This window comes from Homo sapiens, chromosome 7, assembly GCF_000001405.40.
Source record: "Homo sapiens chromosome 7, GRCh38.p14 Primary Assembly".
NCBI lineage: Eukaryota > Metazoa > Chordata > Mammalia > Primates > Hominidae > Homo > Homo sapiens.
The window spans coordinates 138,854,334-138,870,128 of record NC_000007.14 but is presented as its reverse complement, the minus strand read 5'-3'; the positions used below and the strand labels follow the sequence as shown (position 1 = coordinate 138,870,128).

At 46.3% G+C, this 15,795-nt stretch overlaps 1 protein-coding gene across 2 annotated transcripts in view; it reads left to right on the top strand.

Moving 5' to 3' along the window:
• KIAA1549 overlaps positions 1–15,795 on the top strand; it is a 150,009-nt gene that overhangs the window by 111,261 nt on the left and 22,953 nt on the right. For both annotated transcript variants that reach the window (NM_020910.3, NM_001164665.2), the window contains exons 14-16: positions 368–591; positions 2,001–2,154; positions 8,673–8,990. In NM_020910.3, the coding sequence (NP_065961.2) occupies positions 368–591; positions 2,001–2,154; positions 8,673–8,990 (696 nt within the window). The remainder of the gene's footprint in view (positions 1–367; positions 592–2,000; positions 2,155–8,672; positions 8,991–15,795) is intronic.

The window sequence follows — 15,795 nt, the reverse complement described above, 5'->3', positions numbered from 1 at the left end:
CTGTAATCCCAGCACTTTGGGAGCTTGATGTGGGCGTATCATTTCAGGTCAGGAGTTCGAGACCAGCCTGGCCAACATAGAGAAACCCCATCTCTACTAAAAGTACAAAAAATGAACTGGGCATGATGGTGCGTGTCTGTAATCCCAGCTACTCGGCAGGCTGAGACAGGAGAATCACTTGAACCCGGGAAGTGGAGGTTGCAGCGAGCTGAGATCATGCCATTGCACTCCAGCCTGGGCAACAGAGTGAGACTCTGTCTCAAATAAATAAATAAACATAAAAATAAATAAAGACTTTGCGAAGTGTGTGTCCCAGAAGCTTCCCGGGACCTCTATGGCTGTCTTTCTCTCCCTCACCCTTCCTCAGATTCAGACCGCGCTGCGGCACAAGTCTGAGATCGAGCACCATCGCAACAAGATCCGCCTGCGCGCCAAGCGCCGCGGGCACTACGAGTTCCCGGTGGTAGACGACCTGTCCTCGGGCGACACTAAGGAGCGACACCGGGTGTACCGCAGGGCACAGATGCAGATCGACAAGATCCTGGACCCCACGGCCAGCGTGCCCTCCGTGTTCATAGAGCCCAGGAAGAGGTGGGCTGGGGCTCTGCGCTAGGCGGTGGGGCGGGCGCGCAGAGGTGCTGCGGGGGGCACAGGAGCAGGACAGGAGCCCCTCTGCTACTGCAGGGCCTGTGACAGAAGGACCCCATCCGTGTTCACGTGGAGGTCTCTGAAGACAGTTGAAGGGGCTCATGCACAGAAGGATGTGGAGGCCACTCGGAAGGCTTACCCTGGCTGAGGGTCACCTTAGTGTGGGAGGCGTTGGCTTTGTTCTCAACTCTGCCCCTCTGCCTGCCTCGGGGCATTTCCTGGGGCTTAATCTGTCTCTTCCAATTCAGCCTGTCTAAAACTGCACTCACCCTTTCCTTCCCACACTGGCTCCTTCTGTGGTGTCCTTGGCTCTTCCTCACCTCCCACTCTGTCACCTCCAATATTTTCATCTCCCGGAGCCACCCAGGCTGGCACCCAGCAGATCTTCGTTGGTTTTCTCACAGCTGCCTGCAGGGTCTGGGGTCTTACCTTCCCCTGGTCTCCCAGACTCCCGTCCCCGACATAGATGCGTTTTCCTTAAACACGGCTCTCATGTATGTCTTTCTCTACTCAAAACCTGAGGTGGCTCTTATTGCCTGCCAGGTGGGTCCTGTGCTCCCGTCGCAGGCCGGCCCTGCCCCTCCACTCCAGCTCTTTTTCACGGGTCAGCCACACGGACAGAACTGCCACCCAGGAGACGGCCTGGTAGCCCCTGAACATTCACCTGCCTGCCGTTTCTGCCCCTGGCACCTGCTTCCCACATCCTCCCTGGCTTCAGGTCCCATTCACTCTTCAAGACCTAGTTCTGGGCCAGGCGTGGTGGCTCACGCCTATAATTCCAGCACTTTGGGAGGCCAAGGCAGGCGGATCACGAGGTCAGGAGTTAGAAGTTCAACACCAGCCTGGCCAATATGGTGAAACCCCGTCTCTACTAAAGATACAAAAATTAATTGGGCGTGGTGGCAGGCGCCTGTAATCCCAGCTACTCAGGAGGCTGAGGCAGGAGAATTGTTTCAACCTGGGAAGTGGAGGTTGCAGTGAGCCGAGATCACGCCATTGCACTCCACCCTGGGCGACGGTATGAGACTACATCTCAAAAAAAGAATAATAAAATAAAAAAGACCTAGTTCTAGCCCCATGGGACTAATAGCTCCCACTGACTTCTTTTCTGAATGTCATGATTACAAATGGCTTTATATCATTCTGTGTTGCTTCATGTGGGTTAATAGGTCTGTTTAGGTATGCTCTGAGCTTCCTTAGAGCAGAGACTGTCTCGTACATGGCGTTTATATCCTATGGGGTGTTTCCAGGGGTAGCACATCCTAGGTACTCAGGGTACTTAGTGTTTAGTTGGTAAGTCAGTGGCAAAAAGGGTGATTTCCTACGAAGATAATTTCTCTTTTTCCTGGCAGCTCACGGATAAAACGTTCTCCCAAGCCTCGCCGGAAACACCAGGTCAACGGCTGTCCTGCCGACGCTGAGAAGGACCGGCTCATCACCACAGACAGCGATGGCACCTACAGGAGGCCCCCCGGCGTCCACAACTCAGCCTACATCGGATGCCCAGTGCGTGCCACCGACTCCAGTTTCTGGAACTCGGGTGGGGCGGCTCCTAGAAAGATGCGCTGAAAGGGGAGGAGAAGCAGCAGCACTGGCTGCCGCCCTGTGTGGTATCAGTGCCTGATGCCTGATGGCTGATGCACCAGGGCCCTCTAGGTCATGAAGTGGGTGGGGTGGGGTGCCACCCCTTCTGAGGGGAGACTTGAGTGCTGTCAGCCAGGGTGCTGCCGAGTGCCACCTCTGGAAACACACTCCGTGTTTTTCCTCTCTATACGTAAGCCCCGTTCTCTCAGACTTCACAGTGGGACTTTTTTCGAGGTTAACTGGAAAACAGAGAGAGAGAGAAATATCCTCAAGGTTTTTTTCCTTCTCCCTAGTCAGAGGGTTATTTGGTTTTGTTGTTTATTTTTATTATTTTTTTTTTTTGGGACAGGGTCTTACTCTGTTGCCCAGGCTGGAGTGCAGTGGTGTGATCCAGGCTCACTGTAGCCTCAGCCTCCTGGGCTCAAGTAATTTTCCCACCTCAGTCTGCTGAGTAGCTAGGACCATAGGCATATGCCACCATGCCCAGCTAATTTTAAAAATTTTTGTAGAGATGGGGTCTCAGCATGTTGCCCAGGCTGGTCTCAAACTCCTGACCTCAAGTGATCCTCCCGCCTTGGCCTCCCACAGTGCTAGGATTACAGGTATGAGGGCATGACCCTGTGATCAAGAGTCTCATACTCTACTGACTGAGCTAGCCTGGCTGGGTTTCCTAATGAGAGGAGGGATATTTAGGGTTTTATTTCCCTGTACTGTCCTTGGAGTGCTAAGAAGATAGCGTATTTGCTTATATATATTTTGCTTTTATGGGAGAAAGAGGTTAATGGAAATTAAGAAATAATGAGTGGTGGCTCAGACCTGTAATGCCAGCACTTTGGGAGGCTGAGGTGGATGGATCGCTTGAGCCCAGGTGTTGGAGACCAGCCTGGGCAATATAGCGAAACCCCGTCTCTCCAAAAAATACAGAAATTAGCCAGGCGTGGTGGTGCATGCCTGTAATCCCAGCTACTTGGGAGGCTGAGGTGGGAGAATCGCTTCAGCCCAGGAGGTCGAGGCTGCAGTGAGCTTTGATCGCACCACTGCACTCCAGCCTGGGTGACAGAGCAAAACCCTGTCTCTAAATAAATAAATAAGGGATTATTTTTTTCCAAAGTAAAAGAGGTCCAGACAGATTTGCTTGAAGTGTTAAAGGCAGTTATTGATAGCGTAAGATGCATACACACAGACTGCATTGAGTAGGGGAGAGAGAACCAGCCTCACTTAACCCATGAGAAATACAGACACAAAGATACCCGAAGACAGAGAGGGCGAGCCAGGTGCCGCTAACTCCGGCAGCACTGGGAAACACAGGGCGTCCTAAACTCCATACCAGGAGAGCCCTGCCTTGCTGCAGCAGGCCCCTTTCACCTCCTGGAGGCACTCACAGAGCCAGCCTGGTTTAGAGACACGTTAGCAAAAAGCACAGCCTTTGAGAAGGGATTTGCGATGGATGTGATCGCTTTAGATAGACCTTATGCAACCAGCCATTTCTTAGTTGAGGTTTGTATTTTTCTCCTAAATTATATAAATAACAAGCACTTAAATAGGCTAAATATAATTACACAAATGTGCAAACATTATACTGGGATGGGGCCTAAATACAACTGAATTATGATCATCTGAAAGAATGAGACTTTTCCTTAGGAACTTACGGTATTTCTAGGGTCTTAAAGACCGACCTTCTTGATCTACTCATGGGGATCAGTGCGATTTCAGAGTTAGGCTGTCTGTAAATGAAACTACTGTCTTCCTCAGTACGAGGAATTGAGTAGTTCCTGTTACTTTCTAAATGTGGTGCATGGCTGCTCTTACAGTAGGTGGTGCTCTTGTGCTGTGTTGGGTTCTGGGGGTATTTGGGCATCTGTGGGGTTTGGCTTGATCTGGGGAGGGCTCCCCAGGGTTGTCACCCGGAGCTTTTGTAAACTGTGCCAAGTGGAGACTTGCTGTGGTGTGAAACAGATAGAAGGGGCAGCATCCCTTCTTGTCCCTTCACTTCTCCAGCCAACCTGGGCTCCTCTCTCAAAGGAATTTGTGGGGAACCCTCTCAGTCCCCCTCTCTTTGATTTTTTTAAATGATTGAGTTTTGTATGGGGAGGAACCTGTCTTCTCCTGGCTGTCTTCATTTGCCTGCTTCAGTGACTCTAGATCAGCCTTCTTTTGCGGTAGCTTTGCAGCATCGTTTTCTTCCTTTTTTCCTTAGCAGAGAGTGCAGGGATTCCTCCTCCTGTGGGTGCAGAGCAGCCTCTTCCTGGAAGACACCACCCCAGAGGCTGCTTGCCTTCAGTGGCTCCTTTTTTAAAAGATTGCCCCAAAATAAAAATCTTCCTCAGATTTTGAATTCTGAAACACTTTAAAAGATAATGCCTGTCTCAGAACTCATCTTTTCTTAGGTAGTTTATCTTTTTTTCCCTCAACTTGTATTTTAGAATCAGTGGTACATGTACAGGGTTTTTTTTTTTCATCTTCAAGCCTATACTAGGGAAGTACTATGTGTTTTTGAATTACCTTGAATTTTCCACTTTCCCCTCAAAAATATCTTCTCCTTGAGCGGTGTGTTCTCCTAAGGCCAAGAGAAATATTCCTTGGTTCCTTGTAATAAGGGTGACCATTATAATTCAGGCCTTGGTAGAAATCCAGCCAGCTGCTTGTTCTTGTAAGTAACTTTTTTTTTTTGAGACACTCCAGCTCTGTTGCCCAGGCTGGAGTGCAGTGGTGCAATCACGGCTCACTGCAGCTTCAACCTCCCCAAGCTCAGGTGATCCTCCCACCTAAGCCTCCCAAGTAGCTGGGATTACAGGCACATGCCACCTTGCCTGGCTAATTTTTGTATTTTTAGTAGAGATGGGCTTTCACCTTGTTGCCTAGGCTGGTCTCAGACTCCTGGGCTCAGCGATCCTCCTGCCTTGGCCTCCCACATTTCTGGGATTATAGACATGAGCCACCAAACCTGGCCTAAATAGAGTTTTATTGCAACACAACCGCACCCATTTGTTGGCTTGATATCAATGACTGTTTTTGCTGCAAGGCAGAGTTGAGTGGTTGTGACAGACTATATGACTCATAAAACCTAAAGTCTTTACTGTCTGGCCCTTTACAGAAAAAGTTTGATGTAATTTGTCATCCAATCCAGACACTTTTGGAAGTGTAAGGGGGTGTTCTATTAATAATGACCGTGGGACAACAGGCATAAACTGAGGTTGTCCTGGACAACCAGGCTGTCTGGTCACCCTCTTGCAACACCCACAAAGGACTGCTAAATAGGCACCAAAATCCGTAAACAGTGAAAAGATGTACATTTATTTCTGAAGACTGATAAACTGTATCTGAACACATCTATGTGTGAAACATCTATAGTCTAAATATAGATGGTAGAATATAGGAAATTGAGTAAATCCTCTTCTTGGCCTGCAAGTTCTGATAGTCTCGCCTGCAAAATGAGGAGAAAACAAGAAGGTGAAGGACAGGAAGAGGAAGTGTCCTGGCCCAGGAGCTCCTGGCCTTCTGGCAGGATTCACGGGGGCCATTGGGAATCCAAGGGGACTGTCCTTCCCATCTGCAGATCATCTCTCTCGGTATAGAAGTTTAGCCTTCTCTGAAATTCTGGCCACTGAGAATGAGATTGGCAGTGGTTATAGCCGCTGGGGACTCTGCTCAAATGTCTGAGATCGTTTCCCACAGTGGAATCTCAGTTTGTGCCTGCAGTTTTTTGTGTCACCACACTACTTGCTTCCTTGCAGTAGAGTCACATACGCAGCCACCGGAATCACCGCCAGGAACATCGCTTCTGTTTCTGGAGAAACCCTTTTACCAGTGGGCTGTTCTTCCAGACACACCCTCCCTTCTTTCCACCCGTGAGCTCTAGGTTGGTGGTACACTGCCGACCAGGCTTCCTCATCTGCTCCTCAAGAAAATCAAGAATTGGAGAAGGGCATGACTGTGGACCTTTATCCACCTCACAAGGAAAGGAGCACAGGTTCCTTCCAAGGTGACATCATCAACTAGAGGCCACCTTGGGGCCCCAGATTCTCAATTAGGATTCCTCAGTGACAAATCTCATTTAGTAGAACCTCCAGTGGGATGTTGCAGTTGGGAGAAATGGACTCATAAGCCCAAGAGTGTCATGTGCAAGAGAGGGAGGTCGCCAGTGGGGACTGCCGTGGAGAGAAGAGCACCTACCCCATCCCACGAGGGCAGTCGCTGCTTCACGGCAGTTGGTGGTTTCTGTGTTGCGTGAGGGCCTGGTCATGCCAGAGCTTCAGACTCTGCCAAGAGAACCCAGAAATCTGAGTGTTACTATGAAATTTTCAGATGTTTAAAATAATGGCTATCAATTAAAAGAGTGTGTAGGCCAAGCAAAACCTGTCCGTGGGTTGACTGTGGGGTTACTAGTTTTGTATGGTCCTCTCTCAGTTTGGAGTTAAGAACCTACTGCCCTTCACGCTGGCAGGAATAATAACTGATCACCCGTTAGAAGCATTTTTCAGATAGGGGGCTAAGTTTAAGGATGTGTCTGTAGAGTAGTTTGTCTTTGTAATAGACTCACTGATCCAGATGGGTAACGGAATGTCTTCGTTGGCCCCTTTAAGTATGGTGATCCAACTAGCTGGGCTAAACTGCAGGCACGTGGCAAGTGAAGCATTCTAGATAGAAGCCGCCCACCCTTCCTCACAGAGGGTATGGGGTCCCCAGCCCCTCGGGCAGAACCTTTTCTCTCTTCACTGTGTCTGCTGCAGTCACCATGCTGTTTGGGCTCATGGAGCCTGTAAGACCAGAAAGGATGACTCTTCTTCGTTGGTTCCTGGTTTTGTCTCTTAACAGTTTACCTGGTGTATATTATGACCGTGTTTTGCTCATAACAGTATTGGGAAATGAGATTTAAAAAATCTTTATTGTTACTTATATTTCTACCTCTTAAGCAGTAGGTATAGAACACAATTTGAACCTTTGCGTTTTTTTTTCTTTTTCTTTTGAGATAGAGTTTCACTCTTGTCACCCAGGCTGGAGTGCAAGAGTGCAATCTCAGTTCACTGCAACCTCTGCCTCCTGGGTTCAAGCGATTCTCCTGCTTCAGCCTCCTGAGTGGCTGAGATTACAGGCGTGCACACTACGCCCAGCTAATTTTTATATTTTTAGTAGAGACAAGGTTTCACCATGTTGGCCACGCTGGTCTCGAACTCCTGACCTCAGGTGATCCACCCATCTCGGCCTCCCAAAGTGCTGGGATTACAGGCGTGAGCCACTGTGTCTGGCCAATTTAAACCTTAATGACTCTTGTGATCCAGAGATACCTTCATTTTAAAGACAAATGGTTCTGAATAGTTTTCATAAAATAGATATTGTAATTGCTTGCACACATACGTAGGCTTTTTTTTTTTCTTTTTCTTTTTTTTTTTTTTAAGAGTCTAGGTCTCTCTGTTACCCAGGCTAGGGTGCAGTGGGGCAGTCATAGCTCACTGCAACCTCGACCTCCTGGGCTTAGGAGATTCTCCTGACTCAGCCTTGTGAGTAGCTGGCACTGCAGGTGCTCACCACCACCCTCAGCTAACTTTTAAGCAATTTTTTGTAAAGATGGGGGTCTTGCTATGTTGCCTAGGTTAGTCTCAAATTCCTGGCCTCTCTGGAAATGATCTTCCTGCCTTGGTCTCCCAAGTTGCTGGGATTACAGGTGTGAGCCACTGCACCCAGCCCACATGCATAGTTTTAATATGTATAGTTTTTAAAAGTTTTGATCTTTTAAGGGTATGTCAGACTATTTTCTAATAGTCAATAGACTACTTTACTTATTGACTTCTAGCTAGGGAAAATTTACTAGTTTTTTTCAATACATAAACTTTGAAATATGATTTTTGGCTGTTTAGGGGCTTTCAGTAGAAATGTTCACTTCCAGGTACTGAAATGCCTTGTAAATAGTTGAGTGTTGCTGAAAAAATGATTGTTGAATTTTGGCAGTTTTTTTCTGGTTCAAGCCTCCCCTCTCCTTCGCATGAAATGTAACGCACATTCCTCAGCTGTCATTTTTTTATTTTTTTGAGACAAGGTCTCACTCTGTCATCCAGGCTGGAGTACAATGATGCGATTATAGCTTACTGAAAGCTCAAATTCCTGGGCTCAAGCTATCCTTCCACCTCAGCCTCCCAAGTAACTGGGACTACAGGTGCACACCACCACACCTGGCTAATTTCTTTTTTTTTTTCTTTTTTTTTTTTTTTAGAGATGGGGGGGGTCTCACTTTGTTGCCCAGGCTGGTCTCGAACTCCTGGCCTCAAGTGCTTCTCCACCTCAGCCTCCCCAAATCCTGGAATTAAAGGTGTGAGCCACTGTGCACAGCCTCAACTGTCATTTTTTAATTCTTATGATAGAACTTTTCCTCAATGTCAGGAAAACTGTTTAGGGTTGCCACAAAAACTCATGTGTGATTCTTCCTTTGCCATTTCTCATTGTAGTCGGATCCTGACCTCCCAGCCGATGTGCAGACACCATCCTCGGTGGAACTGGGGAGGTATCCAGCCCTTCCCTTCCCGGCCTCCCAGTACATCCCACCCCAGCCGTCCATCGAGGAGGCACGCCAGACCATGCACTCCCTCCTGGACGACGCCTTTGCCCTCGTGGCCCCCAGCAGCCAGCCTGCCAGCACCGCAGGTGTAGGCCCCGGAGTCCCACCCGGCCTGCCCGCAAACAGCACCCCTTCCCAGGAAGAGAGGCGAGCCACCCAGTGGGGGTCCTTCTACAGCCCAGCCCAGACGGCCAACAATCCCTGCAGTGTAAGTACTGGCCTTCTAGAATTCTCTGATGGGCAAGATGTTGAAGCTTTGTTGCCTGACTGCCTGACTTTCAGGCTCCGCACAAAACCGTGGTTGCATTTGATAAGAATTAAAACTCGGGTGATGGGTCTTAGTTTTTATCTTCTACTAAATTAATTCTTAATGTTGGAGGTATCCGTTTATGTGGGTTTACAGGCTCATGCCTGTAATCCCCGCAATTTAGGAGGCCAAGGCAGGAGGACTTTTGCTTTGTGGAGGAACGGAGGGGGATTTTATGGAAGCATCTTCCTGGGTTCAAAACAGTGTCACGGAATGGAGGTGGGGTAACCGTCAAATGTATTCTTGTTGATGTCTCCAGAAAAGTTTCAGTTTAGAATGTATCCAAGTTGTTGAGTTTCTTGTATGGTCACCTGGTACTGGAGAGACCCCTGAGGTTCTGAGGTTGTAGGCAGCCAGTCCCCACGTGGACAGTGACAACCACTTTCAAATGTCAGCTTTCCATCTTGGAGGTTGACATTTCAGCATTTCATCTGCCTTTGTTATCATTTATGTTTTTCTTAGTCCTTTCAAATTTACCTTCCTGAGAGATGGAGAAGAAGTAAAACTCAAGGAAGTAAAGCTACCATTATTTTCTGCTAATTTCATATGAAATGATTGGACTAAGGTTTGACTCTGGAGAGAAGCTAATAGGTCACAATATGAATTTATTAGGGAGTGTTTATACTGGGTCCACCTTGTTACATGAAATTGGGTGGCAATAGACATATGGTAAAATACTTTTTTATCTCTGAAATGGGTTTGAATTTTCAAAGTAAGAGCCTTCAGCAAGAGATTGTCTCCTTCAGGGCATGGGAGGCCGAGAGCCTCCAGTATGGGGAACTGCTATCATGTGGGGTGGGGTGGGAGTACCATTCAATCTAATCATTACTGTTTTTAATTTTAAAATATAGCTTGTTCCAACAACTATCTTCAAAATTACAACTGGTGGTTTATAATATTTCAGGAAATGCATGGTACAGAACAAACCTTGGTAGTAAAATAAATGTGGAAACAGCTGCCATCGGGTCACTTTAAAGTTTTCTCATTTGCTTATTCATTCACATATATTTACAAAGCACCTGCTGTGTCGCAGGCACTCTGCTTAGGTGCTGGAGGCAGAGTAGTGCACAGTACAGGATGGATTTTTCTGGACAAAATAGCATCTCTGTGGAAGTCTAAAGGATAATTAGTGGTTGTCAGTTGAAGAAGGATGTTCCTGGTGGTGGGAAGTACAGCAGAGGCACAGAAATTAAAGTGTATGGGACAGGCTTCAGATGGAGGAACAGAGGCTGGGTTTACCTTCCTTCCTGAAACAACTGAAAACACTGGAAGGAGTATCTGGGTGGCTTGACATTAGACTTTAGGTAAGAAAGGACAGGGGTCAATGAGAAGTGAACTGAGTCCTCCAGTTGCCCCAGGTTGCATCTGGAGTTTCTAGTCATGGTGCAGCAGGTGGGACCCCAGGCAGAGCTCTGTGGTCTCCCTGAGTTGAAGAAATGGAGTTTGGAAGTCTGGGGAGGAAAAGGCAGCTGGAGTTCATGAGGGAGCGTGCAGGAGAGCAGAGAGATACCCTGAGCAGGATGCTAGGCATCTGCAGAGAATCTTTGTTTGAGTACTGATCAGTTTATGGGTACACAGAAACTACCCAAAAGAGCCCCTCAAAAAGATTAGCAGGAACAACCCTCAAAATTCACACAGGCCTGGGAATAAGCTCTTGCTATGGATTGAACTGTGTCCTCCCCAAAATCACATGTTGAAGCCATAACCCCCCAACATGACTGTGTTGGAGATAAGGGCCTTTAGGGAGGTAATTAAGAGTAAATGAGGCTGGAAGGGTAGAGTCCCGATTCAATAGAACTGCTCCCTCTAGAAAATGAGGAAGAGACTCCAGAGATCTCTCTCTGGCCAGGTTAAGACACAGAGAGCAGGCAACTGTCTGCAAGCCAGGAAGAAAGCCCCACCTGAAACTGAACACTGCCAGATGTTGATGTAAGACTTTCCAGCCTCCATAACTACGAGAAAATTATGAGAAAATCAGTTTCTGTTCGTGTGTGTGTGTGTGTGTGTGTGTGTGTGTGTGTGTGTGTGTGTTTTGAGATGGAGTCTCGCTCTGTCACCCAGGCTGGAGTGCAGTGGCACAATGTCGGCTCACTGCAAGCTCCACCTCCCGGGTTCACGCCATTCTCCTGCCTCAGCCTCCCGAGTAGCTGGGATTATAGGCACCTGCCACCTCGCCTGGCTAATTTTTTGTATTTTTAGTAGAGATAGGGTTTCACCATGTAGCCAGGATGGTCTCGATCTCCTGACCTCGTGATCTGCCTGCCTCGGCCTCCCAAAGTGCTGGAGTTTCTGTTGTTTTAGGCCACCATTTCTAAGGTATTTTGTTTTGGCAGCCTGAGCAGAGGGATATGGTTCCTTTTCCAACAGTTGGTGGAAACTGCATAATTCATGCAACATCAGTTAGAGTATTTGGAAGAGTTTTGCCTCAGTAATGGGGCAAAATTAGCCCCAACTTAAAGCTGCTCTGGTTCTACCTAACAAACCACAAAACCATAACATCTAAACCCAAGCAAAGCTCAAGAATATAGAAACACAAAAATATGCAGCATTCAATAAGGTAAAATTAATAATGTCTGCATCAAATCAAACTAAACAGACAAGCAAAGAAGGAAGAAAATGATACAGATGATAGAATTAGTAGACAAGCTGTATGTGGTGGCTCACACCTGTAATCCCAGCACCTTGGGAGGCTGAGGCAGGAGGATTGATTGAGCCTAGGAGTTTGAGACCAACCTGGGCAACACAGTGAGACTCTGTCTCTACAAAAAATATAAAAATTAGCTGGGCATTACTTAGGAGGCTAAGGTGGGAGGATCACTTGACCCTGGGAGGCTGAGGCTACAGTGAGCCATGATTGCACCACTGCACTCCAGCCTGGGCAAAAGAGTGAGACTCTGTCTCAAAAAAAAAAAGAAGGCAGACAAGGAAATGAAAAGCAATAAAGCACAGATGGGGAAAATTAGAAACAGATACCAAAAGCACAGATGGGGAAAACTGAAAACAGATACCAAGATGGTTGACTTAAATCCAGCCTTATCAATAATCACATTAAATGTGAATGGTCTAAACACCCCTATTAAAGGGCAGAGCTTGTCAGTTTGGATAAAAAGCAAGATCCAAGTATATGCTGCCTACAAGAACCCTTCATTAAATACAAAGATACAAGTAAGTGAAAAGGAAAAGTATGGAGAAAAGTTTGGAGGAAGATATGCCATACTAACACTAATCATAGAAAGCTGGAATGGCTATGTTAATATTAGCCAAAATAGATCTCATAGTAAAGAGTATTATTAAAGATTAAGAGGATCATTTCATAATAAAGCATTCAGTTTATCTGGAAGACATAAAGTCTTACGTGTTTATGTGCATAGTATTAGAGCTTCAAAATACATTAAGCAAAAACTGATAAAACTGCATGTGGAAATAAATCTACAATTATGGTGATGAGAATGTAAACAACTGGAAGTCTCATGAACTGCTGGTGGGAATGTAAAATAGCACAACCACTTTGAAAAACAGTTTGGCAGTCTCTTTAAAAAGTTAAACATATATCCTACCGTATGAACCAGGATTCTATTGCTAAGTATTTATCCAGGAGAAACAAAGCATATTTTCATACAAAGACTTGTACATCATGGCAGATTTATTTATAATAGACCCAAAGAAAACAGCAGCACATAATAGCACTCCATTTACGAATATACCACATTTGTTTATCCATTCATATGTAGGGTCTATTATTTAAAATAATCAGGGTTCTCCAGAGAAGCAGAACTAGTAGTGTGTGTGTATGTGGGTGGGTGGGTGTGTCTGTATGCATATGTGTTTGTATGGAGAGAGTGAGGGGGAGAGAAATTTACTTATTATGAGGAGTCGGCTCATGTAATTATGGAGGCTGAGAATCCCATGATCTGCTTTCTGCAAACCGGAAACCCACAGAAGCCAGTGGTGTAGTTTGAAGGCCTGAGCGATGGTTTCCAGTCTGAATCTGGAAGCTTGAAAACCAGGTGCTTCAAGGATGGGAGAAGATTCATGTCCCAGCTCATGCAGTCAGTCAGAGGAAGCCCAAATCCAGCCTTCCTCTGTCTTTTTCTTCTGTTCAGGCTTTCAACAGATTGGAAGATGCCTGCCCATATTGGGGAGGGCTGCCTTACTGTCCACCAATTCAAATGCTACCCTCTTCTGGAAACACCCTCACAGACACACCCAGAAATAATGTTTAACCAGACATTGGGGTGTCCTGTGGCACAGTCAGGTTGATACATAAAATTAACTATTACAGTATGTTCTAAGCAGTTAAGTGAGTTCTGGCTGAGTAGTAACAGAGCGGGCACTAAAAGTGGTTAGACATGAGGCAGGAGAGGAAAAGCAAGAAGCCGATGGTTATGGAGCCTACATGTCATCCTGAGGGTGATGGCTGCACATGGAAGGGTCTTGAGCAGGTGGAGACATAATTAGGTAAGCCTTTTGAAAGATTAGTCCCATTTTAGAGTGAAGAATGGTTGTCAGAAACAGAGAGACTAATAGAAAGCTGTTGTAGTATTCTTGGTGAGAGAGTTGGTGACTCCAGCTAGTGCAATGCAGTGGATAAATTCAAGAGGAAGAATCAGCGAGCCTTCAACGTGTTTAATGGCGGATGGTGCTGAGCCAGTGCGGAAGAAGAGTCTGACAATTCACAAAAGGGGATGAGATGAATCTGGATTACCAGTGGAAGAGCTCTCTTTAGAAATGAGGGGATATGTGGGAGGCCGATGTGGGTGGATCACGAGGTCAGGAGATCGAGACCATCCTGGCTAACATGGTGAAACCCCGTCTCTACTAAAGATACAAAAAAAAAAAAATTCGCTGGGCGTGGTGGCGGGCACCTGTAGTCCCAGCTACTCGGGAGGCTGAGACAGGAGAATGGCGTGAACCCGGGAGGCGGAGCTTGCAGTGAGCTGAGATAGTGCCACTGCAGTCCGGCCTGGGTGGAAGAGTGAGACTCTGTCTCAAAAAAAAAAAAATAAAATAAATAATAAAAAAAGAAATGAGGGGATATGCTTCTTCTAATTTAATGGGAAGGAGGAGGGCAAGATTGGGCACAGATAAAATCAGGTTGTAGTTGGCTGGTAGAAGGTTGAGGAACCAGTCATCTCATGGTTTTTATCCTCAGAGCAGAGAAGGCAGAGTCATCATCCATTGAGAATAACAGAAGAAATGTGGCAGGGCAGGAGGTGTGAGGGAGAGGAGAGATTTGAAAGACCTATTATGGAGAATGAGACAACACAGATTAGGGACACAGGAATTATTTCTTAGCCTTCAGGGTGGTTGAGATTGACTATCATGAAATTGAAGTGGCTCTAATTAATGTTCTCGAGTTTCATTGATGAATATTCAGTACCCAAGTATATGCATTGGGATTGATGAAGACTAGGGCTTTGTCAGGCACCTGCGATGTGCAGGTGAGAGGGAGCAGTTGAAATGATAGACCAGGTGCTGCAAAGGAAAGGTATGGAAAGCTGGAGTCATTTAAACATGCCAGAACTTTGCTGATTCTTCCTCTTAAATCCATCCACACCATGACATCAGTTGGAGCCACCGTCATCTCTCACCAACACCTTCTTAATTGTCTCCCTGCCTCTGGTCTTGAATATACGATGTTAGGGTGGAGCAGTTCTGATGCTGAACACAGCATGGCAGCTGATAGGTAAAATGTGGTTCACTGGTGTTGAGTAAGCCAAGTTGCTGAAGGTCCAACGCCTTGGATGCATCTCAGGGTGACAGGAGGACTGGAAAAGAGGAGGAAGACCTACCACGAGCCTCTTAGCTTAGCTTGTCTTGCGTTTTCCAAAGGGAAAGGCTCATCTGATGAGCTGACCTGAACTTGTTCACTGCTGGTCTCTGATTGTTACTTCTCTCTGCTTCCAGGCTTTTCCTGATTCCCCCTCCCTCCCCTTCACCCTGACTGCCAGTGCACCCCTCAGTGTACTCTCTCTAAGTGGCAATGTAATGCTGAGCATTCTGGGGATGGGCTTAGGAGCCACATCGTGCTGCCAGAATCTTCGTTTTGTTTGTTTGTTTCCCCCTTGACCACTGCTTTTCTCAGTGTGTAGCGTGATTCTGCTCCTTTCCTTATTTGGTTTCTGCTGATGAATTTTTAGCAGTAATTTTTGGCAGGTTCGTGTTGTTATTTCTCTTATTTGTTCATTGTTCATAGGTGTTGCAGATCCAGGATTCCCTGATAATGCCTTATAAATTCAAGCCCATAGTAAGATTTTTTTAATAAACACCATTATTCAATGGTTTTCTCATTGTGGACTTTTGATGTTACCCTGATGTAGTTGGATGAGAATGGTAGCAGCTTAATCTAGTGGAAAACCAGAATCATTGGCTTTATCTGTGCATATCTAATATAATTTCAACATGTTTGTAAATGGATTGTAAAGTTAATGTTGCCAAGGGGAGCCTGATCACTCTCTTATTTGCTGCTATTTGCTTTTTTTTGGTTAAAAAAAAAGAAAAACCACAGGAATGTGGATTTCAAGGTGCCTTCAGTTACCGCATGAGCCTTTATTTGCCACCTGATGACATTATTACTCCTTTTTTGCGAGGGTAGGAGTGTTATGTATCAGTGAGTCAGGCCACGTGATAGTTGGTATTGCTGCTTCCTTGAGAAGGTAAGCTCTCTATGGACTAGTCCTTTGAGTAGCAAGTACAAATCCCTGGG